The 27,914-nt window shown below is 36.6% G+C and overlaps 1 protein-coding gene across 5 annotated transcripts in view, besides 1 other annotated feature; it reads left to right on the plus strand.

Annotated features, from left to right (window-relative positions):
- Window positions 1–27,914, plus strand: part of AGBL1 (AGBL carboxypeptidase 1) — a 951,857-nt gene that overhangs the window by 422,199 nt on the left and 501,744 nt on the right. For all 5 annotated transcript variants that reach the window (XM_011521227.4, NM_152336.4, XM_017021919.3 and 2 more), the window contains one exon: window positions 20,992–21,121. In XM_011521227.4, the coding sequence (XP_011519529.1) occupies window positions 20,992–21,121 (130 nt within the window). The remainder of the gene's footprint in view (window positions 1–20,991; window positions 21,122–27,914) is intronic.
- Window positions 26,529–27,113: an enhancer, noted in NCBI's record as "H3K27ac-H3K4me1 hESC enhancer chr15:87071578-87072162 (GRCh37/hg19 assembly coordinates)". NCBI's record gives its function as "activates a minimal SCP1, AML or CMV promoter by ChIP-STARR-seq in primed H9 embryonic stem cells {active_cell/tissue: H9 hESC(primed)}" and the evidence as "EXISTENCE:reporter gene assay evidence [ECO:0000049][PMID:30033119]".

Below are 27,914 nucleotides of genomic sequence, written 5' to 3' on the forward strand. Positions count from 1 at the left end.
TACAGTATCATACTGCTCTGATAATTGTAACTTTGATTTTGAAATTCGGAAGTGTGAGTCCTCCAGATTCATTCTTTTTCAATACTGCTTTGTGTATTCCTTGTTCTTTTCATTTCCATGTGAATTTTAAGCTTAGCTTGTCAAATTTTGAAAATAAAAAAACCCAGATGGACTTATGATAGAGATTGTGTTGAAACTGTAGATCAATCTGGGAAGTAGTGCCATTTTAATATCAAGTCTTCAAGTTCATGAGTACAGGATATCTTACATTTGTTGAAGTGCTCTTTAATTTCTTTCAATAATGTTTTGTCTTTTGTGGTGTAAAAACCTTACACTTCTTTGGTTAAATTTATTCCTAAGTATTTTATTCTTTTTAATGCTATTGTAAGTAAACTTGGCTTTTAAATTTTATTTTTAGATTGTTCATTGCTGATGTATGTAAATAAATTGATATTTGTGCATTAATCTTAATTCTGGAAACTTGCTGAACTAGTTTATTACCTCTAATTTTTTGTAGATTAATTAGGATTTTCTGTATACAAGATTGTATCATTTGCAAATAAAGATAGTATTACTTTTTCCTTTCCTATCTGGATGCTTTTAATTTCATTTTCTTGCATAATTTCTCTGGCTAGGATCCACAATACAATGTTGAATAGATGTGGTAAAAGCAGACAACCTTGGCTCATTCCAAATCTTGGCAGGAAAATTTTCAGTCTTTTATCATTAAGTAAAATAACAGCTGTGGGTTTATCAGGTTGAAGAAGTTCCCTTCTTAGTTTTTTTTTTTTTAACATGTTTTTATTATGAACATATGCTGGATTTTATAAAACGTTTTTTCAGTAGCTCTTGAGATGATTGTGTTTGTCTTTTATTCTGTTAACATGGTGTATTACATTGATGGATTTACATACATTGAACAAACCTTCCAATCCTGAGATGAATCCCACTTGTTTGTGAACTACATATATAATCTTTTTTATAAGTTGTTAGATTTGATTTGCTAGTATTTTCTTGAGCATTTTGGGCTTATATTTATCAGGGACACTGTTCTGTAGCTTTTTTCCCATGATATCTTTGGTTTTGCTACCCGGCTAATATTGGACTCACAGAATGAGTTGAAAATTGTTTCCTTCTTATGTATGTTTTGGAAAGTTTTGTGAAAGATTGGTTTTAATTCTTCCTTAAACGCTTGGTAGAATTCACCACTGAGGCCATGCAGAATTCACCAGTGAAGTCCTATACTTGGTCTTCAGCTTTGATTTGTGAGAGCTTTGTTGATTAATAATTCAATCTTTTATTTATTATAGGTCTATTTCAATTTAATATTTTCTATTTCTTCTTCAGTCAGGTATGGTAAATTGTGTCTTTCTAACTTTTTGTCCATTTCATCTAGGTTTTCTTATTTGTTGGCATGAAATTATTCGTAGTATTTCTTTACAGCCTCAGTAAGGTCATTAGTAATGTTCCCTCTGTCATTTCTCCTTTTAATAATTTACATCTTTTCTTCCTTTTTTTCCTTGTCAGTTTGACAAAAAGGTTTATCAGTTTTCAAAGAACCAACTTTTAGTTCCTTGACTTTTCTATTGTTTTTCTATTCTGTATTTTATGTATTTCTCTTCTAATCTTTATTGTTTCTTTTCTTCTGCTTGCTTCAGGTTTTCCTCTTCTTTTCTAGTTTTTTAATATAAAAGGCTAGATTATTGATTTGTGATTGTTATGTTTTAAAATAATCTCTTTTAATACAGGCATTTACAAATATGTATTTTTTCTGCTTTTGTTTTATCCTATAAGGTTTGGTATGCTGTGTTTTCATTTCTATTAATTTCAAAGTATTTTCTAATTTATATTGTAATTTCTTCTTTGACTCATTCATTATTTAGGAGTGCATTGTTTAATTTCCATGTGCTTATAAATTTCCCAAACTTCCCTCTGCTATTGGTATCTAATTTATTTTGGTTTTGGTCAAATAATATATTTGTATGATTTAAATCATTTAAATTTATTAAAACTTGTTTTATGGCCAACCATGTGATCTACTCTACAGAATGTGTGCACTTGGGAAAAATGTGCTTTCTGTTTTTGTTGGACCAAGTGTTCTATAGATGTCTGTTAATCTACTTGTTTCATATTGTTATGCAAATCTTATGTTGCCTTTTTGATTCTGTGTCTAGTTGTTCTATCCATTACTGAAAGTGGGGAACTGAAATCTCCAACAATTTTTGGTGAATTGTCTATTTACTTCATTTCTTTTAGTTATTCCTTCATGTATGATGGTGCTTTGTTATTAGTTGTGCACATATTTACAATCTAGCTTCTTGATGAATTAACCCTTTATCATTATTTAATGTCCTTCTTTGTTTCTTGTAACTGTTTGTGAGTTAAAGTACATTATGTCTGATAGTCCTATAGCCACTCTGTCTTTCTTTTGGTTACTGTTTGCATGGTGTTTTCTTTTCCTTCTTTTAACCCATTGTGTCTTTGAATTCACAGTATATCTCTTATAGCCAGCTTGTAGTTGGAACACTTTAAAAAAATCCATTCTAATCTCAATCTTTAGATTGAATTGTTTAATCCATTTACATTTAATATAATTACTGATTTTAAAAAAGGTTTTATGTATGTCATTTTGCTATCAGTTTTCCATATTTCTATGTGTTTTTTGTTGTTTTTTCATTCCTCTCTTATTTCTTTTGAGTTAATAAATATTCAAGGCACTATTTAAATTTGTTTTCATTAGTTTTATAGTATTTTTTGAATTCTTTTATAACTGCCTTGGGGATTTATAATATTGATATATAACAATCTAGTCAGATTAAAACAAACTTAATTGCAATAGTGTACAAAATATGCCATTATATAGCTTCATTTCCTTCCCCTTTCTTTGTGCTATTATCATATAAAATACGTCTTCATATATTGTAGACACATCAACACAGTTTATAATTACAGGTTATGCCATTGTTTTTTAAATCAGGGAAGAAATTTTATAATTAAAAATACAATGCCTTTTATATTTACGTATGTATTAACTTTATCAGTGATTTTTTAAATGTGGATTCTTGTTACTGTCTAGTGTCTTTTCATTTAAGCCTGAAGCCTTCCCTTTAGTGTGTCTTGTACAGCAGATTTCATAGCAATAAATTCTCTTATTATTTTCTTTGTTAGGAAACAAATTAATTTCTCCGTTAAAAAATAGTTTTGCTAAGTATAGAATTCTTGATGTTCAGTCTTTTTGTGTTAGTACTTTGAGTATATCATCTCACTGACTCTGGTCTCCACAGTTTCTGAAAAAAAAATTAGTTATTAATTTCATTGTAGGTTTCTTGTATAGCATTAGTCAATTCTGTCTTGTAGCTTTCAAAATTCTCTTTGTCTTTTGATATTTTGGTTATTACATGTCTAGGTGTGGACCCTGAGTTTATCTTTCTTGGAGTTTGATGAGATTTTTGGATGTGTAGATTAGATTAATGTTTTTCACTAAGTTTAGGAAGTTTTCAGCCATTACTTTTTTTTAACTATTTGTTCGTTCTGTCTCTTTGTCTCTCTATTGCTTCCCCTTTTATTTTGGAACTCCTATTAGATGTATGTTGGTATGCTTGATGGTGTCCCAGTGGTGTCTGAGACTCTGTTAATTTTTTAGATCCTTTCTTCTCTCTATTCTTGAAAGTGGATAACCCCTTCCAGTCACTGAATACTTTTTCTGTCTGCGCAAAACTTCTGTTGAGGATCTGTAGTGATTTGTAAATTTCAGGTATTGTACTTTTGAATTCCAGAAATTATATTTGATTATTTTGTAAAATTTTTGTTTTTTAATGATAGTTTCTATTTGCTGAGACATCATTCTCATACTTTCTTTTAGTTCTTCAGACCTGTTTTTCTCTCTCTTTTTAGTTCCTTAAACATATGCATAATAGCTTATTTAAGTCTTAGACAGTAAGTTCAATATCTGGGCTTCCACAAGGATAGTTTCTATTAGCTGTTATATTTTCTGTGTATAGCCTATGCTTTTTTGTTTTTTTAATATCTCATAAATTTTTTGCTGAAAAGTAGAAATTTTAAATACATAATGTTGCAATTCTGGAAATCAGATTCTTCCCCAAACCCAGGATTTATTGTTGTTTGTTTAGTGACTTCTTGAAGTAATCCGTAAAGTCTATGTTCTTGTCATGTGCAGCCATTAAAGTCTTTGCTTGGCTAGCTTAGTGGTCTTCTAATGATTAGACAGAGTTTCTTAGTATTCTGTAACTAATAAGTCTCATAGCGTTTGCTAGGGAACCTACTGTTGATGTCTGGGCATGCCTTCAACACTCAGTCAGACAGTTTACATCTCTTCTTTAATCTTCACTTCCTGCTTGTTCAGAACCTCAAGGTTTGTCAGGATTGAGAGCTCAGGGCCTTTTTAGGTCTTTCCTGAGCATGCACATAGCCCTGAGTGTACATACAACCCTATGCATGCAGGTTTCTAGAAATATTTTAGAGCTTTCAAAATCTCCCTGTGGACATTTTCCCCTCACCTTTTAGTTTTAAGTTCGGTGGTTTGCCCATTGGTTGCCCAACAGTTTTCTACTATCTGGGAGACCCATGATGTTTAGCAATTGCCTCTAATTTTTTTCAACAAATGCCCATGGGAAAAAGTCTGTTTCCATTCGGGAAGATTTGAGTCATGTCAAATAAGGACCAGTGCTGCTGATTCCTTTTGCCTGTGAACAGAGCCAACACTCATCCAATAGCTTTTCAACAAAACAACCTTAATTGAAGAGTCTTGACAGAATTTGCAAGACATCACTAATTGGATTCCACTTGCCATCTGCTGCACTATACCTGACAGAGCCCAGTAAAATGTAAATTCAGAACCGATGACAGAGTGAAAGGAGAAAACAACCCCTTCCTGATAATTGTGGTTACCCAATCTGGAGCCTTAGAGGGAGGGGAGAGGTAGCATCTTGAGTCTTGTACTAAGGATTGACATTGAATAAATAAATGTGTACATTTTATTTCCTCAAGATTTATTTGAGATTTTCTCACCTTTAATGGAGAGCAACAAAGAAGGAAAGCAGGTATCATATCATGTAGGATAATTTTTCTTAAGGAATATTATTTTGAGAATTATTTTCTTTTATAAATATATATAAAAGTCATATTGCCTATGTTTAGCTTGAAGTGTATATTTTAGTTTAAAATACCCAGTGAACTGAAGATGACATTTTTCTGATCCATGAGACCTAACTATAAAGATGTTTTGATTTCTCATATTGCAAAAATGACTCCCTAAATAAAAAGACGCAGCCAAGCTACTAATGATAAAGCCCTCTGATTTTCTCCTTGGATCTTAGTGGAAATAAATTAAAGTAAAATAACTTTAAAATGTTAATGCCATGTATTTGAAGGAGCTAGACCACTGAAAAGAATCAAGCTTACTTATCAGTAAGAAAGATGAAGATCTAATCATTTCATGGAAGATCCATTAATACCATATCTGTACTCAAACTGCAACTATTCTAAAAGGAAAATATACTCAGACCATAAAAATATGTTTCCCAGAAACTAGAGACTGGAGAATTCATCCATTCATTCTTTATCGATAAGGTGATTTCTATGTGTCACGAATTGTTTTTTGGGGCTGAGGATACAGTAGTTGAACAAAATAGGTAAGGTCCGTGTTATCATTAAGCCTACACTCTAGTGGGGAAGAGAGAACATGAACTAAACTAGGGTAGATATGTAATACAATGATGGATAGTGTTAATTGTAGTGAATAAAATAATGTAGGTTGGAAAATAGAGGGTAATGAGCAGGTGAAAGGTGGGAAGAAGATCCTCTATGATGAGATGACATTTGAACAGAAACTTGAGAGAGTAAACCATGGATATTTGGGGAAAGAGACTGCCAGGTAGAATGAAAGCAGTTAAGAAACCCTTGACATAGTCCAGGTAAAAGAAGATAGTGGCTTAGACAGGGTGGTAGTGTTGAAAGTGGTGAGTTATACTTGGTTTCTGTATATACTAAATATTTTGAAGATTTGCTATTAAACAGGATTAGGGGTATGTGATAAAGATGCCTCAAAGATGACTATAAGGTATTTGACCTGAGCAACTGGTGATTAGGGGAGCCATTTAATGAAAATAGAGAGAGGGTAGTTGATGCTCCTTCCTTCTTTGTTTAGGAAGCCTAAAAGTGATTTGCCTTTTTTTTTTTTTTTTTTGAGATGGAATCTCACTCTGTTGCTAGGCCAGAGTGCAGTGGCACGAGCCACCATGCCCAGCTAATTTTTTTTGTATTTTTAGTAGAGAAGGGGTTTCACCATGTTGGCCAGGATGATCTCGATCTCTTGACCTTGTGATCTGCCCACCTTGGCCTCCCAAAGTGCTGGGATTACAGGCGTGAACCACTGTGCCCCACCTGTGATTTGCCTTTTAATTTCCTGGAACCACTTGTGTATGTGATTCAGCTGAACAATACCAACAGGTTGTGGAAGATCTGGATAGAATTGAAACCAACACAAAAGCTTTTCTGTAACAAAACAGTACAAAGTGTGTTAAGAGAGAGAGGGGAAAAATAATGACAAAAAAGAAGGGATTAGAAAAAGATTGTGCTTTAGGTAAAGAAATTTCCAGACTTTTTCCAGGAAACCTATTTTTCATTGGCTAAAGACCTGGGATCAAATTCATGCTTGAAATACATGACTATGAACAGTTACATAAACCTTGTGAATTGCAGTTTCTTCAAATATAAAACAGGATTTTTTTCGAGGATTAAATGATAAATATAGCTTTTTCTCCTCTTATTTTTATTTTATTGTTATGATTTACTGAAAGTCTCAGAAAAGCCCTATATTGATGATCCAATTAGTCTCTAAGATTATATATTACAAGTAGTAACTGAGATCCATTAAATGTAGGACATGATGATGAGTATTGAAGCAGATTCAATAAACATACAAGATGCAGTACTATCCTCAAATGATTTATAGTCTAAATCTGTAGTTAAGCGAAAATTCAGAACAGTATTGATGGTGATGCAAATGTGAATGCTAAAAAGAACTGCTTTTAAAAAATGCAAACATTTGTTCATCACTGAGTACATACGAAGCATTTTGCTAAGTGCCTTAAGTGTGTTATGACACTTAAGCCTAAGAAACAAACAATCAAAAATCCTGTGAGTTAAATACTGGTATCACCCTTAGGTCGAAATAAAAAGACAGGCTTGTTCGTCATCTGATACTGAGAGTCTAAAATTTAACAAAGTTAAATAACTTGGTCAAGTTTATACAGCAAGTGAGAGATCCAGACTTGAATGCACACAGCCAGAATCCGGTGACACGCACATACACTTTTCACCATTTTTGTTTTCTCAAGGAATTTTAGAAGTTGGAGAAATTGCTACAGATTGTAGTCAAAGGAAGTCTCATGAAAGGGGCGAGGCTTGATAAGTTTCCTGAAAGACAGGTAGAATAAGAAAGAGATGGAGAAGAAAAAGATTGGGTCTGCAGACATGGCTCCATCAGCAGGTGAGGGGATTTGAGAGTTGGGAGAGCACATAGTGGCCTGGGAACAATAAGGAAACATGGTTTGCTTGGACCACTGGGTTTGTGTTGGGCAGTAATAGAAGATTGAGTTGGACTGGTGAGATGAGACTAGTTTGTAGAAAATCTTGAATGTCAGCCAAAGTAGTTTACACATCCTTTTTTAGGTAACAGGAGTCAGTGAAAGAATTTGAATATACTTTTGGAATTATGTCAAATTGGAGGAGAAACATTACGATAGATAGAAGATGAGAAAAACGGTGAGGAGGCAATTGCTGTAATTTATATAGGAGATAATAAATCTTAGACAATTTTTCTTCTTATGAATTTGGTTTCAAAAAATAAAACCTTATAACCTACCTCCCCTCTCTTTCTCTTCCCTTATTTATGTCACTGACACTTTGTCTTTTCTTTTGCATGCCTTTACCTAGAATTAGCATTTTCAAAGGAGAAAGTCACCTTGGATAGAGATCATGTGTTCTAATTTTCTGCTTTAAAAACAACAACAGCAAAACAAACAAAACAACATCTCTGAGCCAACCAAAACTACGGAGCTTGCTTAGGATTACACTGTAGCAAGTGTCAAAACAAGGCTGAAGCTCATTTTTTTTTTTTTTTCCTGATTTCTTCTGTGGCACTGAGTGCTATCCATTTTCTCCTACCAGGAAATCAAGGAAAAGGAACTCCAGAATTCCAAGATGACTCTTGACATTCTTTTACCTAGGAAGGTATTGGCAGTCAGCATTGCTTTCAGGGAATGGGATAAATGTTTCCTAGCTATTTAAAGACCCAATCAGCAGAAATTATTTTTCTGTACCTGTGTCCCGTGTCCTAAGAGACTAATCAGGATTTTATTATACATCCAGAGTTAAACACATTGACATCCTCTAAAGAAAGCATAAGAATCACCTTCTTTTCTACATCTGCTAGTTAGCAGGAAAGAGAAGAGTTGTTACTCTCTAGAGACACATTTTGGCTTGATCAACTCATCAGGGGAATTCCTTCATGGCCTGCAAAGAAAACTTACCTGAATATGAAGAAGGCTCTTAGGCATAGAAAAAGGGAACAAGTAAAACCCCATGCATTCTTCCCACCTAGGAAAATAAATATGGGGTCTTATGATTCATTACAGGACTCTAATTTCTGAGCTTCTTTGAGAAAACTCAGCTCTAAATTTCTTTATCAACTTTTTTGCAGTAGGGATAGAAGACTAGAAGTTCTATTGCAAGTTTATACAAAACAATGTCTATTTTTCTTAATGTTAATGATTTGGAACATTACATGATATTTTTCTATTAAAGATTTCTCTCCAACAAGGAATATACAGTGACTTTTAATCCAAAGCAGACTACAGCAGCCTAGAGGAAGCCCCAGCTGAGATGGAGATGATCAGGAACAATCAATATTTCATAATTAAACCTGTTGAATTCACAGTAATAAAGCTGCAGTTTTAATTTAGAGTTGACTGTCCAGAGAAAAAATATTCTGACAGCAGTAGAATGGGGAGTTGACTTTCATTTATTCCTCAGATAAAGGTGAATTCATTGTCTATCACCTTCTGACCACTGTGATGGGTTGGTGCTGAGAAATTGTCAGAACGAGAGAGACATAATATCAGCTTGGAGCTGGCACTTGATAATAATCCCCAGAATGTAAATTCCTGGAAGGACTTATTCACTGCTGTAATCCTCAGAATAAGAATAGTATCCGACACATAGTAGGTGTTCTAGTTGAACAACAAATGTGTGGTGAATTAGTGAATAAAGTGTTTTTATATGACATTTTTGTCTTTTGAATATAATTTTGTACCTGAAACAAACTTGTCAAATGGGAAGAGGAATATTAATTTTACATAGAAGAAAACCACAAGGATGTCAGAAGATTTCTAAGGCTTATGGTCAGGTGACAGCACTGGCCTCACATCCCATCCATTTTTAAAATATTAAGCAGTGAAATCCTTTCTTCAAACAAAATTGGACTCCAGAGTTCAACAGGCAAATCAGATAGAAGCTGAGACACATTGGTTCATATAGGTGTGGGGAGCAGACACCTTTCATTTCTGTAGGCTTCTTCCCCATCCCTTTTCATCCATTGCAAACACTGGATAAATCATGCTAATTAGATGGTTAGGACATTTGTGCTTCTTATAAGTAACTGTCCTCTCTGTTACATAGTTTACTCTTTATTCAGAGGCTACTCTAGCTGTGTGACCTTAGGCAGGTTACTTAACATCTGTAAATCTCAACTTTCTCATGTGCAAAATGGAAATTATAATTATAAATGCCTCTAGGGTTGTTGTGAAGATCCATGAGGAGAATACATATAGCAGTTAATAAAAGGCATGGTACAAAATAAGTGCTCAATGAATGTGAACTATAATGGTGGTGATGATGATGATGATTGAGATAATGGTGATTGGGAGGAAGAACAGCTTTTGATACTCACCTGGTCTAAAACAAAACAAAAGGATGAAGTAGGGCTCATTTATTTTTCCCGTGTGATAGGAGCTTTCAATATTAAATGAAATATATAATTATCCATTTCATTTTACATTACAGACATGACAACCAAGATATAAATAAATGTAGAGAATAATGTGTTCTTGCTTTTGTGGTGTCAGAAAGCATTTATTTTGCTTTTTAGGTTTAACAAAAAGGTTTTGAGCACAGTTTAGGACATTAAAATATACAATTAAATGCCATTTTAATTCATGTGAATATACGTTTATGAAATAATATCTGTGTTCCAGCTACTCTTTCAGGCTCTGGGGACACAGAGGTACACAAAACACTATCTTGTCTTTAAAGTGCTGAATGTCTGGTGGAAAAAACCATTATAGTAAGGTAAAATCAAGTCTGTCGCTGAGGTGTCCTCAAATTACTTTTGCAAAAATTGAAAATGTCCATATCTTTCTGCTCATTTTGTTTATCTGGGTTTTTTCTAATATATTTCTAAGGACAAGGCTTATGGGGAATGATATTTCCTAGGTTCTTGAATATTGATAAGAATTTGTCTATACCTCTATATTTGAAAAATCAGTTTTTCTGGACATCAAATCATTGTCTCGCATTTTCTTTATTTAAATATTTTTATTTAATACTTTGAATATCCTTGTTCAATTTTCTTTTGAAACATTGTCCTCAAAAAGGTGTAATCTAATTTTTTCCTTGGTAAGTCATATCCTGTTATTACCTAGATTTCCAATGAGTTTCTTTTTCTTTAAAATCCATTAATATCACTAGATTATCTCTTGGTATTGGTTGAAGTCTTAGTATTTCTTTTGATCCTTGGCTTTTTCTTTTTCAGAAACTACTATTATTCATATGTTAGATGTTCTTTGCCTGTCTTCAATATTTGTCACTTTGCCTTGAATCCTTGTTATCTTTTTCTACCCTTCTACAGAATTAAAACAAAGTTTTTAATTTTACATTTTTCTCTAAAGGCATTATTTGTCTTATTTATTCATGTTTGTGTTCTTTCTACACTAGGTTTTATTTACAAAATGATATTTTCTTTTTTTAACCATTTATTATCACCTAATTTTTGAGTTTTTCCAGTTATTATTTTTTTTAAATTATAGATTTTTTCCTTTTTTCAAGTTATAACTTTTAAAACTCTTTTAAGTATTCATTTTGAAATAATTTGTATCTGTCAAAGTTACAGTAATAGTATAAAAATATTCCTGCATATCTTTCACCCAGCTTACCTAAATGCTAACATTTTACATATCTGTAAGATAATGATCAAAACCAGGAAACTAACATTAATATACTAGTATTAATTACATACATTATTCAGATTTCACCAATCATTCCAATAATGTTGTTTTTCCAGGATCATATATTGCATTTAGTAGTTGTGTCTTCTCAATCTCCTCTAATCTAAAATAGTTCCTCAGGTTTTTTTTCTGTTTATCTTGACTTTTTTGAAGAGTACTGGTGAGTTATATATAGAATATCCCTTGAATTGGGTTTGTCTGATGTTTCCTCATTATTAAATAGTGGCTTTGTATTTCTGGCAAGGTTGTCACACAGGTGATGTTGTACCCTTCTCAGTTGTATCATATCAGGGGCATGTGATGTTGACATGCCTCACAAATGGTGATGTTAACTTTGATCATTTGAATAAAGTGGTATCTTCCAGACTTCTCCATCATAAAGTTACTATTATTTGCTTTGGGATTAGTAAGTGTCTTGTGGGGAGATACTCTGATGTGAATCTTCTGTTGCTCATTATAGTTTTACCCACTAACTTTAGCTACATTGCTGATTGTTGCTTGTATCGATTATTACTGTGATGTTTGTCAAATGATAAGTTTTTTAAGTTTTCTCTAAATGTATAAATCTACTTCTCTATGTACTAATTGGAATTCTACTAAAATTAAGAGCTATTCCTTCTTCCCTACTTATTTATTTAAATCACTATGAATTTATGAATATTTAATTTATTCTATGGGTTATAACATAGTACTATTGTTCGTGGTCAAATCTTACTGCATTTCACCATTGTGGTTCCCTTAGAATTGATCTCTGCGTCATTTCAACATGTCTCCATTATTTAAAAATACTTCCTTATTTTTTGGCACCATTATATATTCTGTTCCAGACTGATATTCTTTTCTTCTGCCCCACCTCTGAAACCAGGCATTTCTTCAAGCAGCCCTGGTTTCTTTTATTCAATAATGGTATTTAGAAACTGATATCTGGGAACTAGATATGTTTCTTGCTTGTTAGTATTTCTCGGTTCTTCTAGCAGACAGAGCTGGGAAATAGATGTATGAATACACACACAAACACACACACACACACACACACACACATACACATCTATTTCTTTATCTATCTGTAAATTTAAAATCATGAGTTTATGCTGATACCTCTGATTTCAATACAAAATCACAGAGTTAATTCCTTATTTGTAATTCCTTTCTGTAACAGTGAGAAACCTGGTTGTTGTTATTCATAATTGATTTACTTATTTATTCAATCCTAGAATACACATAAAGTAGTTTTAGAATTGCCAGCTCAGAATTGTGCACTGCTATGAAAAACAAATTTGTGTATTGTTCTTTTTATCCTTAGCTTTACCATTTATAGCCAAAATTTTATTTTCTAAAGTTACTCAGTTCAGTTCTTTTCTTCTTACTTCGTTTAGTGTTAGTCACTTGTGACAGAGTTTATTTATAAATGTTTGTAACCCATTTGGGTTTTCTCCATGGCTCTTGTGTTTGATTATATTTATTTATTTATTGATATGAATATGTGAAATGTTAACTTGGTTCTAAAAGTTGAAATTAGACAAAAATATATGCTCAGGGAAATGTCACTTGCCCCTCAGTCTTCTTACCCCATTCCCAGTTACCCATTCTCTGTTTGTTATACCCCATGTCCACCCCATGTCCATTAGGCCATCAGTCTTATTAGTTTCTGATTTATCTTTCTTGTATTTTCTTGCACAAAGGAATAAATGCATGTTTATTGTTCATCTCCTTCATTCTTAGCTATGCTATTTTATCCCTTAACTGTATATTTTTATTTGTAAAAGTTATATTTCATTCAACTTTATCATTTAACTCCACATCCTAAAAATTACCACTCCATATCAACTCATTGGGATTTTCCTCTTTTTTTACATAGTTGCATAATACTTCATTTTGTGACGGCACCAAATTATTCAACTACTCTCCTTTATGGAAATTTACCTTTGTATGCTAATATTGTATCCTGCTACTTTACTGAATTCCTTTACTGTTTGAGTTAATAGTTGGTTTTCTAGGTATGCTGCAATGTTATCTGCAAATACACATGGTTTCAGATCTTCTTTACTGATTTGCATGCTTCTGAATAATACCTCTTGTCTAGGTTCATTGGGTAATACTTCTAATTATACATTGAAGAGTTGTGGAGAGAGTGATCCTCATTACCTTGTGCCTGCTCTTAGTGGAAATTCCTCTGGAGTTTCTCCATTAAATAAAATTCTTCCTTTAAGACTTTTAGAATTCCTGGCTTTAGGAATGTGTGCATGTGTGCCTGTATGTGTGTATATACACACATACACGCACAGTATCTATCAATTCTTATTTTCTTGATTGTCTTTATCAGGAGTGGGTGTGGAATTTTTCAAAGGTTTCTATTTGCTTTAATTATTATAAAAATAATAATTAGTTCTTGATTTTTAAACATTGTCTTTTATTATTTCCTATTCTAACAATTTTTTGTGAGAATTAAAAAGAATTTAAAATTTCAGATTTTAAATAAATGACCCTTAGTTTTATCTACTAAATAATGTTATGTTGTTCAAAATGTCAGCTGGTTGCAATGGATGACTTCAAGTGGTTGTTGGCTGGCTGGCCTCAGAATTAGTAGCACAGCCTAAGGTTTCACTGTTCACTTGCATGTGTATTTGGCAAATTCTTCACAAACAGTTGTTGGTCTTGTGAACACAAAAGTATCTGAGACAGATCTCAATCAATTTAAAAAGTTTGTTTTGGCAGTGTTAAGGACGTGCCCGTGACACAGCCTCAGCAGTCCTGATGACATGTGCCCGAGGTGGTTGGGGCATAGCTTGGTTTTATACATTTTAGGGAGACATGAGATAGCAATTAATATGTGTAAGATGTACATTGATTGGGTTCAGAAAGGTGGGACAACTCAAAGCGGGGGAGGGAGCTTCCAGGTCATAGGTAGATAAGAGACAAACAGTTGCATTCTTTTGAGACTCTGATTAGCCTTTTACTGAATACACAAGTTCCATGTGAGAGGAAACTAGAGGAGTAGTCACTTATGCCTGAGTCTGGCTTAGTGAAACAACAGGGCAGAGAAAGCCATTATATATGCATTTGTCTCAGGTGAACGGAGGGTTGGCTTTGAGTTCCGTCATCTTTGTCCACAAGGAATCTCCTTGTTGGCAAATTGTGAGGCAGGTATGTAGCTTTTCTATCTTTGTAGCTATCTTATTTGGTAATAAAATGGGAGGAAGGTTGTGCAGTTCCCAGCTTGACTTTTCCCTTTAGCTTAGTGATCTTGAGGTCTCGAGATATATTTTCCTTTCAGTCTGGTGACGTAACTTTAGAAACTTCCAACGCAGAGGGCTGACTGTTTCACAGGGAGTAATATTTAATTTATTCAGTCAGTTGTATGTGGGAACAAGTGTTGTGTAGAAATGTGAATTAACTGGCTGGGTGCGGTGGCTGACGCCTGTCATCCCAGCACTTTGGAAGGCCAAGGTGGGCAGATCACCTGAGGTCAGGAGTTTGAGACCAGCCTGGTCAACATGGCGAAACCCTGTCTCTACTAAAAATACAAAAAATTAGCTGGGCGTGGCGGCACATGCCTGTAATCCCAGCTACTCTGGAGGCTGAGGCAGGAGAATCGCTTGAACCCAGGAGGCGGAGGTTGCAGTGAGCCGGGATGGTGCTCTAGCCTGGTTGACAAGAGTGAAACTCCATCTCAAAAAAAAAAAAAAAAAAAAAGTGATTTAACTGATCACGTGTTCTTGATTGATGCAAGTGATGCGGTAGGGCTCTCTCTATATTTGCAGCTAATCTGGCTCATCACTTAATCTGGTCTGAGCTGATTTCAGCTGAAGTTGTCCTGGTCGTGTGATCTTTTGAATTGCCCCATTGAATAGCTGAATGATATTATGAAATCAGACTAGTGAAAATAACTTAGAAATGAAAACCACATTTTAATCTTCTCTATTGGTGTTCAAATTAAAACATGTAAGAGACTAACACAACAGTGGGAAAAATGGGTTGGGCAAGTATGTAAGTGGGAGTGTCTCCAAGCTTTTGGAGCTGGCTCTGCTCCAGATGAGATGCTAAAAGTCCTAAATATGTGTTCTAGTTCTGGAAGCATGGTGGCAATAAATCCCTTTATAAAGTAATAATTCCTTTGTGAATGTTAATTTTCTTCTTACCTTAAATTCTAGTAGAAAGCACTGCTTCTTTCACTTTAATGTGCATACACAGTCCATTAGGATCTTGTTAAAATGCAGACTCAGGGTTGGGACTAGAGTTTCTACATATCTCACAGGCTACCAGGTAATGTTGTTGCTCCTCCTTTGTGACTACCCTTGGAGGAACAAGGGCATAAAGAACTATTTTGTATTTAGACCTACCAAAGTTCAAATGTTAACTATGGGTAATTTCTTTCACAAAGATGACATTTGAACCCAGGTCAGTTCTTCTGGCTTATCTTTAAAGATTTTGGCTTTCCCATTTCTGGGCTCTGGGGTGATCATGCCTCTGGTAACCCATTTCTGGGTTCCTGGAGGTGTGTAGGAACACCTGTGTTAGATCTCTTATCTTCCCTTGCTCTCTGGATTATTGACTCTCCTGAGCATTTTGCGTGACAAAAAATATCCTGAACATAATAACATGTCCCTGACAACCCTGGTTGTTTTGAGCTTTAGAACAACTGTAGCTTTGAAATGAAGTTGTCTTTTGGTTTTTTCCTCTTTTTTCTTTTCTCCATCCAAACCATGTTTATTTGGAAAGCTCTGGGTGCAGTGTCTGGCCGATAGTCCCCCATGCTCTTCGTCGTGTTCTTGAAGCTTTCATGCATCTCTTTGCCTTCATAGATATTCTCCTCCTGCACCCTTCCTGCCTTCTTCACCTAGGATGTACAGTGAATGGCGAAGCTGCTGCCTAAATCTCAAACATGCTGCCTCTCTTTAGGCTCCAGAGCTTGCTGTGCTGCAGGCACTAATATTATCTAGCCTGGCATCATTCATTCAGTCTGATGGGCTCTATCCCTCTGTTTTTCAGTCATGGACGGATGGGAGATTTTTGAATCCTCTTGTATTGGGACGGCAGCCCTATAGATTCATTTTTAGAAGGTGACTCACTTTTCCTCTGTCTCTGCTTGTGGTCCTTTCTTGGCTTTAGGAGTTCTGGTAGTTCAGGATCTAGTTGTTAAAGCCCGCGGTTATGTTACTTGTTTCCCAACCTCTGGAGGATCCCTGTTCTCAGTAGATAAACGAGATCCACAATTAATGTTAAAAGAATTATTTTTCGTGGCATCATTGTCCTTTAGACTGTCCAGCCTTTAAGGTTCCCTTTTAATCAGAATGTCATGCAGCTGGTGGCTTCTATTCAGTGACCCTTTAGTTAGGACTAGTGCTGCTGATTGACTCTTCGATAATTTCAGTTGAGATGCTTTTGTTTGGTCATAAAATGACCATATTTTCTGGAGATCAGAAGCTGTCTTCTCTTTTCTTAAGGAAAAAGATATGCCCCACAAAAACCTCAGTTTTAAGGATTTCCAGACATTGGCTGCAAATGCCTGAAAAGAACAGAAAGATAATGCGTGTGGGAAACAATCAAGGTAAACATAGGCAATAAGGATGCCTGACCCTCAGTGGCATATGAAATTCCCACCTAAAAACATTCAGTCAGTGCAAAATAATTCAGTCTAGTTCTGGTGAAGTATTCCAACTCTGTACCACCTTCTAAAATTAAGGATCTAGGCAAGGTTATCACATCTCTGGTGTGCATTTGTTGAGAGAGTTACAGGGATGCAAGCATTTCAAAGCTAAAAATGCAGCATTCCTAGACAAACTGGATATCTGAGCATCCTAGATCTGGCATATTTAGTGCCTATAAACTTTATCTTAAACTAGCTATTTAAACTAAAGCTTTTTAAAATAAGGAGGACAAGTCAGATCAAATGTCTTTATTTGTGAAAAACAAAATGAAGTGGATAATTTTTCCCTGTAACTTATTTTCAGTGAAGGGAAAAATAACATCATCCTTTGATATTTGCAGATTATTGGTTCCAGGACACCTTCCCCACACCCACCTCCATGGATATCAAAATTCGTGGATGCTCAAGCCTCTTATATAAAATGGCTTAGTACAGTTGGCCCTCCATATTCATGGATACAGAGGGCCAACTATAGCAATAATCACCATTTTATGATTCTTATAAAGAAAGCAGAACTTCAAACTATTTGAGAGAGGACCACTTTTCAGAAATTATAGGCACTGAATTTATTGCCAGCCAGTCATAGCTGTCCATCTGCTAATTCTCCCCCCATAGAAGGAGCAGCTGTCATTTCAGAAATGCTACAGTAGATAATAAGATAGGGTGCATTTCATCTTCAAATGCTTAAATCCCTGGGAAGAGCAGCAACAGCTCTTCTGACTGCATGAATCTCTGATATTATTAACACAAAATGCCAAATGGATTCAGAGATCAGAAGCAAATGGATTCACTTTAAAAGGAAAAGCACTCAAGTTAGGTGTTGTACATATTATAATAACCTGCATTTGCATAGATACAGGGACTGCCAAAGCCCTAGTCACACACAGAGATACTCTCCAAATCATAACCACCATAGAGTCCTGAAGACAAATACAATCACATGGGCTTCCCAAATCCACACAACCTATCTACACAAATGGAATGATTCATTGCCTCTACCTCCAAAACAGACAACAAACAAACCAAATTTTCCCCAAAATAAGAGCTTTCTTAAGTTCTGTATGTCTCACATTGGCCCAATTTCTCTCCAAATCTCTATGTTTAAATATTCTTAGATGTGGTCCTCCTTTGTGTGCTGTTTAACAGCCCAAATTTCAATCAGCAATTTCTACTGATTATTTCTTTGCATTTTTTCTTAGATGAATTCTTTTCTGTTCAGCCTACTGCCTCTACCCTTAGGTGTGTCCAAGTACACTGTTACTTAAAAATGACCACAGCCTCTTGCCTGGAGTTCTTAGTCAAGACACTTCTCCCTTCCATTCACCCTGCATATAGCTATCTGATTATTCTTTATAAGAAAAAAAAATTAGGATGAGGTAAGGAACCAATGAATGTAGTCAAAGTTGTGCTATGCATCCTTGAGCATTTTAGATGTAGATGAAGATGTAGACATAGATACAGATGTGGATATAGTCATGCACACAGACATAGGTAGAGATAGAAGTATATGATATTTCTCTATAGGGATATCTAAAATAGCTATTTCATTCGATCCTCAAAATAAACCTAGGGGGAGATTTGACTTATTTATTTCACACATGAGAATGTTGACTCTCAAAGAGGTCTCAAATCCTATATCTGGTAGCAGCTTGGAGTTGGAACTAGGTCTTATTCAAATTTGGGCTTCTGGTTTCAGCACAAAACTTTATTTTTTTTATTCTTGGAAATTGTGATCTAAAATAGTATTTCTGCAAAGTGGTAATACGTGAGCCTTCTCCATGTAGATGTTGCCCCTGAACTTGGTTTCCATGGAGCATAGGGAAAGAAGATGTAGAGAGAGTTCATACAGAATTGCTGGCTGCTGGACACATGTATGCTTGCATTTTCATTTATACAAGCAGAAATGCTTTTAAAGGGCCTCAACTAATTTCGTCACAGTCAGTGTTACAAAGGAAAAAACAAATCCCCAGTGTTGATGAGAATCCAGGTCAAGGCAAGGAGAAATCACAGAGCAGTCAAAGAGAATCCTGGGGCTCTGGGATGTTGTGCCTGCAAGTACCTTGATTTGAGAAAAGCAATTCATTTAAACACAGCAAATGTGCTTGGGAGCAAGTCTGGGCTGCCTGTTCCTTTCTGTTGCTATCGGCATTGAAAATCTGCTTCATATTTTACCTTCATCCTTGGTCACCAGGCAGAACTGATAAACTCTATTTCTAGATGTCATTGCTATTAAAAACAGAAAGGGAGAAAAAAAGCAGGCAAAGAATAAAAAATGCCAGAGAGGAACATGCACAAGACCTACCATTTATCAAGTCAAAATATTTTAATGGAGAAATCAGGATAAGTGATTAATCTGAAGATTTTTAGTTTCCAGTAAGTTGTAAGAAGGTCTGACAGGCAACAGGAAGCTAATATTTAAAGATAATTTCAGGAACATGGAAATGAATAAGTGGTAAAAGGAGAAGACTGAAGACTGAACCTTCTTTTTACCTCCAATGTTTATTGAAAACACTGTGTTTCAAACAAAACAAAACAGAAATCATATCTGATTCTGCATATGAATGCTGGTAAATTTATTCTTTCCAAATTATTTATCCAATATCAACTCTTGACAGAGTTACTATATTAGAGTTTTGATGGTGACCAAGAGACTATCACTGTCCCTGCCCCCAGGAGGCTCCTAGTCTAATTGGGAAGTCAAGAGAAATAAAAATAAAAATCCATCCAAAATGGTTTTATAAGGACTCTGATCAAGGGGGCCTCAGGATGTTATTGCAGCAAATAGGAGATAGATGCAATGGCCTGGAAAATCAGGGAAAGTTCCCCTGCAGATTGATCCCCTAAACGTTGAAGAGGTAGGGGTACATGAAGATGGAGGAGCCCCAGCCAAGACCTATGTATGATAAGATAGAATGGGTGATGTATTGTGTACTGGTTTCTTAGGGCTGTTGCAGCACACTACAACAAACTGGGTGGCTTAAAACAACAGAAACTCATTTCACACTTCTGGAGGCCATAAGTCAAGTGGGAACTGTTAGCAATTCCACTGAGCTTGGGTGTGGAAGGACAATGGTGGAGGATTTGGGAGGAGTTGGGGGTGCTGGAGGTGTTGGGGATGCTGTGCTGATCCTCCCAATCTGTGGCACTTAGCTCATTGACCCTACTGAGTAAATAATACCTTAGCAGGACTACTGGGAATGTGTCCTGTGCAGGGGCTGCCCTTGGTAATCTCTGGTGGTTGTGGGTTTTTAGGATCACTCTGCCTGACAACTCAGCATCTCAGTTTCCTCACTGTGAGTGGCAGTCAATCCTTTCACTACCAGCTAGGTCACTTTTGTAAAGTAACTTGGTACTTTTGAATACGAACATCATCATTCCCCCAAATAAGGGAATGTATGATTTTGAGCTCATTATTGCTCTAATATACCATGATGATATAGTTGAAAAAGGCACTCTGATTCTCTTGGTAAATGTCAAGCAGTGCAATAGAAGAGAGAGAACAGGGTTAGAAGCAAATAAATCTGGGGGGAAAGCCTAGCTCCTTCTTATGGCCTAGATCTCCAGCCATTTAATAATTTATAAGCCTCACTCTCTTCATTGGGGTGTTCTAATGTCTACCTTGCAGAGTTATTGAACCAGCTGGAAATATCATATGTAACACACCAAGTATGATAGATTGAATGCAACTTAATTATCTGTAGAACTGAAGAACGCATAGCCTAGAGAAATTTATTAAATGTATTCCCCATGGATGTATATAATGGGGAACTACATTTTCCAACTTTGTCTTAAAACTCTGATAATCTGATAGCAAGTCAAATATGGTTTCTAGTTCATTTGGGGGTTGTGAATAATTATGATACTTTGGAGCTTAAAGGACAGATCTACAGCTTTCTAGACATCTGAAATTGATGCCAATTGGGAAGAAATCAGAGGAAAGTTTTGAAGTCATTAGTTTAATTGTTTATCTTGTGGAGCTTTATTTTCTCAAGTTATTTTCTTCTGAATGTGTATTTATTTGCTTATTATTTGTTCCTGTAGCCACAGATGCTCACTGAGCGGGGAAGATTTGAACAGACAATGGCTTTCTCCCAGTGCTCATCTGCAGCCAACCATTTACCATGCCAAAGGCCTCCTCTACCACCTGAGCAGCATTGGCCGAAGTCCCGTGGTGAGTCACTTCCTTCTGCCTCCACCTTCCTGGCTGCTTCCTTCTACCTTCCAGGAAGCAGAGTATATTCTGCCAAGGCAAGAATAGACAATGACCAAAAACCTATGTATGACAAGATAGAATGGAGGATGCATGGTGCATTGACTTCCTGGGCTGCTGTACCAAACTGCCACAACTGGGTAGCTTTGTGTAATGCCAGAGAAACTTATCTCACATTTCTGGAGGTGTGAGTCTGGAATCAGGGTGTTGGCAGGATCATGCCCACTCTGATGGCTCTAAGGAATAATCCTTCTTTGTCTGTTCCAGCTTCTGGTGGTTGCTAGCAATCTTTAGCATTCCTGGGCTTGTGGCAGTGTAACTCTAATCTTTGCCTCTGTCTTCACAAGGCCATCTTCCCTCTGTGTCCAAGTTGCCCTCTTCTAATAAGGACATTAGTCATTGTATTAGGGCTTATTCTAATTAAGTATGGCCTCATCATAGTTTTATCATACCTGCAAAGACCCTGTTTCCAAGTAAGGTTACATTCACAAGTACCAGGGATTAGAACTTGAATACATCTTTTGGGGGGACACAATTGACCCCACAACAAAGGCAAACCCCCAGCGTAGTAGTCATTGGTAAAAACTGGGCAAAAAATCATATTTCATTCCATATCCTGAGTCTTCATTTTTCTGGTATCTCAGTTATTGCATAAGAAAGAAAATGTATATACCTATTAAATAGTGTTTGGAACGAAATCCTCTAGGTGTTTATGTTCAACTAATACTTATATTCCAAATTTTATTCTGGCACTGCCCCAGGGATTTTTATATCTAGGCTGTTTTCCCAAGCCTCTAGTACTATACAATTGATTGAAAAAACACTATTTGAAACCAGAGGACTTGGCTCAAGATAATAAAGAGAAAATGGCAGCCAAGTAACCATATGAAAATGCTCATTTATTAACTACAAACTGTGAACATACCTGTCTACAAACATGTAGAGGGACATACGTCCAAATTCAGAGTCCTTACCTAACCTAACAAACTTAAAATAGAGTGAAGAAGCTCACATACGGGCCAAATCAATTAATCATCTCTACCTTTAGCCACTTTTTGAACATCTACTATGTGACAAAAAGGTGGCACATTCAATGAATATTTATTTTTAAAATGGATGAATATATAATGTAGAATCTTATTTAAATCTCAAAAGAGATGAACAAGTAAACTGATTTCAATGAGATCACCCAGAGGTGTATGGCAGAGTGGGAATTCAGTTCTGATATGTTTTTCTACCCTGCAACATAGCCTCTCTTCATTACTTACTGTTGAAAGCGTGTGTTGGGGAGCTCCATGACTATCCGCAGGCTCAGTGATTCCTTAGAAGGACTCACAGGACTCAGAATAGCAGTTATATTCATAATTACAGTGTATTACCTTCAGAGGACACAGATTAAAATCAGAAAAGGTAAATGGCATTCATGGCAGAGTACAGGAGAGACAAGGTACAAATTTCCAGGTATCCTTGCCCAGTAGAGATACACAGACAGTGCTTGACTCTCCAGCAACAATATGGGTTGCCAACCAGGAAACCTCACTTAGCTCTGGTGTCCAGGGTTTTTGTTGGGGGGTCAGTTATGTAGCCATCAAATATCCTACGTGGCTGATCTTAGTTACTCTGTCTCCCATCTCTCCAGAGGTCAAATTGATATCTCATGGTCCTAGAGCCCCACCATAAGTCACATTGTTAGCATCAACCATCTGGCATGGCCCAAGTCCCAAGGTAAAGAAAGATCTGTTATCCAGCAGAATATTCCAAGAGTGTGAAGTTTATTTCCTAGGAGTCATTCAAGGGACAGATCTTATTTCAGAGTGTGCAGGATTTGAACCCTCTAGTCTTGCTGAGTCAATCTTTTTTTGCTTAGAGAACAAAGTGGATTCTTTTCTCTTAAGAATCCTCATTCTGAAAGTCCTAGCCAGAGCAATCAGGCAAGAGAAAGAAATAAAGGGCATCCAAATTGGAAAAGAGGAAATCAAATTATTTCTGTTTGCTAATGATATGATCATATACCTAGGAAACCCTACAGACTCCCTCAATAGACTCTTACATTTGATAACTGAATTCAGTAAAGTCTCAGGCTACAAAATCAATGTACACTAATCAATAGCACTGCTGTATACCAATAACAACCAGCTGAGAATAAAATCAAGAACTCCGTTTTATTAACAATAGCTACAAAAAAAAAATACCCAGGAATATATTTAACAAGGAAGGTAAAAGATCACTACAACAAGAACCACAAAACACTGATAAAAGAAATCAGACATGACACCGACAAATGGAAAAATATCCCATGCTCATGGATAGGAAGAATCAATATTTTGAAAATCACCATATTTCCCAAAGTGATCTACAGATTTAATGCAATTCCTATCAAAATACTAACATCATTTTTCACAGAATTAGAAAAAACAATCCTAAAATTTATATGGAACCAAAAAATAGCTGAAACCTTAGCAAAAAGAATAATCTGAAGGCATCACATTACTGGATTTCAAGTTATACTACCAGTCTATATTTACCAAATCAGCATGGCACTGGTATAAAAGTAGGCACATAGACCAATGGAACAGAATAGAGAACCCAGAGATAAAGCCAGCCACCTACAATTAACTAATCTTTGACCAAGTAGAAAAAATATATATTCAGTAAATGACGCTGGGAAAATTGGATAGCCACATGTAGAAGAATGAACCTGGATCCCTGTCTCTCACCAAATACAAAAATTAACTCAAGATGAATTAAAGACTTAAATCTAAGATCTGAGTCTGTAAAAATTTTCAAAGAAAACCTACGAAAAACTCTTCTGGATATAGGCATAGGCAAATAATTTATGGTGAAGACTCCAATTTATGGTGAAGACAACAGAAACAAAAATAAATAAATGGGACCTAATTAAACTAAGTACCTTTTGCATGGCAAAAGAAATAACAGAGTAAACAGACAACCTACAGAATGGGAGAAAATGTTTGCAAACTATACATCTGATAAAAGACTAATATCCAAAATCTACAAGAAACTCAAACAAATCAGCAAGACAAAAAAGAAATAATGTTATTAAAATGTGGTTAAATGACGTGAACAGATATTTCTCAAAAGAAGTTATATGAGTGACCAAGAAACATGAGAAAATGCTCAACGTCACTAATTATCAGGGATATGTAAATTAAAACTGCAGTGAGATACCACTTTACGCCAGTAAGAATGGCCGTTTTTAAAAGATCAAAAACAACAGATGTAGGCATGGATGCAGTCAAAAGGGAATGCTTATACACTACCAATGGGAATGTATGTTAGTACAACCTCTATGAAAAACAGTATGGTGATTTCTCAAAGAACTAAAAGGAGATCTACTATTTGATCCAGCAATCCCACTACTGGGTATCTACCCAAAGGAATAAAAAAGTTATTGTATTAAAAATATACCTGCACATATATGTTTATTGCAGCATAATTCATAATTGCCCAAAGATATGGAATCAACCTAAGTCCCCATCAATTGATGAGTGGATGAAGAAAATGTGGCATATATAAATATGCACACAGATATGTTTGTGTCTGTGTATATATATATATATATATATATATATATACACACAGAGTATATATATGTATATAGTGTATATATATATAAATACACAGTATATATATATATTTATACACAGATGCACATATACATATACCATGGAATACTACTCAACCTTAAAAAGAATGAATTAATATTTTTTGCAGCAACTTGAATGGAACTGGAGGCCATTATCCTATGTGAAGTAACCCAGGAATGAAATATCACATGTTCTCATTAAGTGGGATAAGCTACGGGTATGCAAAGGCATACAGACTGGTATAATGGACACTTGGAGAAACAGAAGGGGGTTGGTGGGAGTGGAGTGAAATGAAAAATTACCTGTTGGGTACAATGTACACTATTCAGGTGATAGGTACACTTAAAGGGGACTTTACCACTATAGAATTCATCCACATAACCAAAAACTACTAAAGCTATTGAAATTACAAAGTTAAAACAAGAATACTGGTTCTACACTGCTGAAAATGTACAATCTTTTCATTCTGACCTTCTCCCTCCTGCAATCTTAGAAGGCACTGTAATCTCTGCAGTCTACCCTCTGGAAGCAAGCACATGGCCTGCACAGCAGGTCACAATTTGAAAAAAGTATGTTTCTCTGAGTAGAAAGCTTTAGCTTCTAAGAGGAGAGACAGAGAGTGGGACTTAAAAGGAAGAAATCCCTATATAATACACATTTAAACACGCACACATTCAATCCACAACAAAACAGAATTCCTCTCTGCTCTGACAACCTCTAATTGAAGAGCAGAACATTTATTTTAAAGCATGACAGGTGAAAGCCTTGTTTAAAAATATAAATAAACATTAATTAGCTATAAACATGACAGCCACAGACATGTTTCCTGCTGGGACCATCTGAGAGGTGGGTGAGAAACAGCTGAGCACTAAATGCTGTTCACAGTGTTACAAAGCTCTCTAATGGGCTCAACATCACCTTTTAGTTACCTAGGAGGCTATATTTAATGAGTCTCCTGCTGGCAGCAGAAGCGCTGCCACTCACTCAGCACTCAGGCCTATCCTGTACTGGGAAGATTTCCACTGCGACGAGATTAACTGTGACTCTGCCCAAATTCTGGCTCTTATGAAAATGTTTTCTGAAGCACTGGGAAGCCACTTTATGGTGGCTAGGAAGATCCACCGGTTCTAGATACTATTCAGCCATTTGCTTATTGGTGAGTGGATTAATATGACTCCCAGGACCAAAAAGAATGTGGTACTGTGAGAAAAAGCAGTACCCTGAGAGCGTTGAGCATTGCTAAATACCAGACAAGTCATTCACTTTATAGTGAATATGGCAATATTCACATATTGTGTAATTCCTCCACTCATCCATATATCTGTCCATCCACTCACCTAGCCATCCATCATCCATTCATCCATCCAACCACTTATCCATCCACCCACCCATCCACCCAATGTAGGCAGTCATTCATTTCTTCATTCACTTGCATCATATATGTATAATTATGGTGCTACGTGTCAGGGATACAAAGAAAATATTTTATTTAAGATTGTCCTTTTCTGGGGGGAGGAGCCAAGATGGCCGAATAGGAACAGCTCCGGTCTACAGCTCCCAGCGTGAGCGACGCAGAAGACGGGTGATTTCTGCATTTCCATCTGAGGTACCGGGTTCATCTCACTAGGGAGTGCCAGACAGTGGGCGCAGGCCAGTGGGTGCACGCACCGGGCGCGAACCGAAGCAGGGCGAGGCATTGCCTCACCTGGGAAGCGCAAGGGGTCAGGGAGTTCCCTCTCCGAGTCAAAGAAAGGGGTGACGGACGCACCTGGAAAATCAGGTCACTCCCACCCGAATATTGCGCTTTTCAGACCTGCTTAAAAAACGGCGCACCACGAGACTATATCCCACACCTGGCTCGGAGGGTCCTACACCCACGGAATCTCGCTGATTGCTAGCACAGCAGTCTGAGATCAAACTGCAAGGTGGCAGCGAGGCTGGGGGAGGGGCGCCGGCCATTGCCCAGGCTTGCTTAGGTAAACAAAGCAGCCGGGAAGCTCGAACTGGGTGGAGCCCACCACAGCTCAAGGAGGCCTGCCTGCCTCTGTAGGCTCCACCTCTGGGGGCAGGGCACAGACAAACAAAAAGACAGCAGTAACCTCTGCAGACTTAAATGTCCCTGTCTGACAGCTTTGAAGAGAGCAGTGGTTCTCCCAGCACGCAGCTGGAGATCTGAGAACGGGCAGACTACCTCCTCAAGTGGGTCCCTGACCCCTGACCCCCGAGCAGCCTAACTGGGAGGCACCCCCCAGCAGGGGCACACTGACACCTCACACGGCAGGGTATTCCAACAGACCTGCAGCTGAGGGTCCTGTCTGTTAGAAGGAAAACTAACAAACAGAAAGGACATCCACACCGAAAACCCATCTGTACATCACCATCATCAAAGACCAAAAGTAGATAAAACCACAAAGATGGGGAAAAAACAGAACAGAAAAACTGGAAACTCTAAAACGCAGAGCGCCTCTCCTCCTCCAAAGGAACGCAGTTCCTCACCAGCAACGGAACAAAGCTGGATGGAGAATGACTTTGACGAGCTGAGAGAAGAAGGCTTCAGACGATCAAATTACTCTGAGCTACGGGAGGACATTCAAACCAAAGGCAAAGAAGTTGAAAACTTTGAAAAAAATTTAGAAGAATGTATAACTAGAATAACCAATACAGAGAAGTGCTTAAAGGAGCCGATGGAGCTGAAAACCAAGGCTCGAGAACTACGTGAAGAATGCAGAAGCCTCAGGAGCCGATGCGATCAACTGGAAGAAAGGGTATCAACGATGGAAGATGAAATGAATGAAATGAAGCGAGAAGGGAAGTTTAGAGAAAAAAGAATAAAAAGAAATGAGCAAAGCCTCCAAGAAATATGGGACTATGTGAAAAGACCAAATCTACGTCTGATTGGTGTACCTGAAAGTGATGCGGAGAATGGAACCAAATTGGAAAACACTCTGCAGGATATTATCCAGGAGAACTTCCCCAATCTAGCAAGGCAGGCCAACATTCAGATTCAGGAAATACAGAGAACGCCACAAAGATACTCCTCGAGAAGAGCAACTCCAAGACACATAATTGTCAGATTCACCAAAGTTGAAATGAAGGAAAAAATGTTAAGAGCAGCCAGAGAGAAAGGTCAGGTTACCCTCAAAGGG

This window comes from Homo sapiens, chromosome 15 (assembly GCF_000001405.40).
Source record: "Homo sapiens chromosome 15, GRCh38.p14 Primary Assembly".
NCBI lineage: Eukaryota > Metazoa > Chordata > Mammalia > Primates > Hominidae > Homo > Homo sapiens.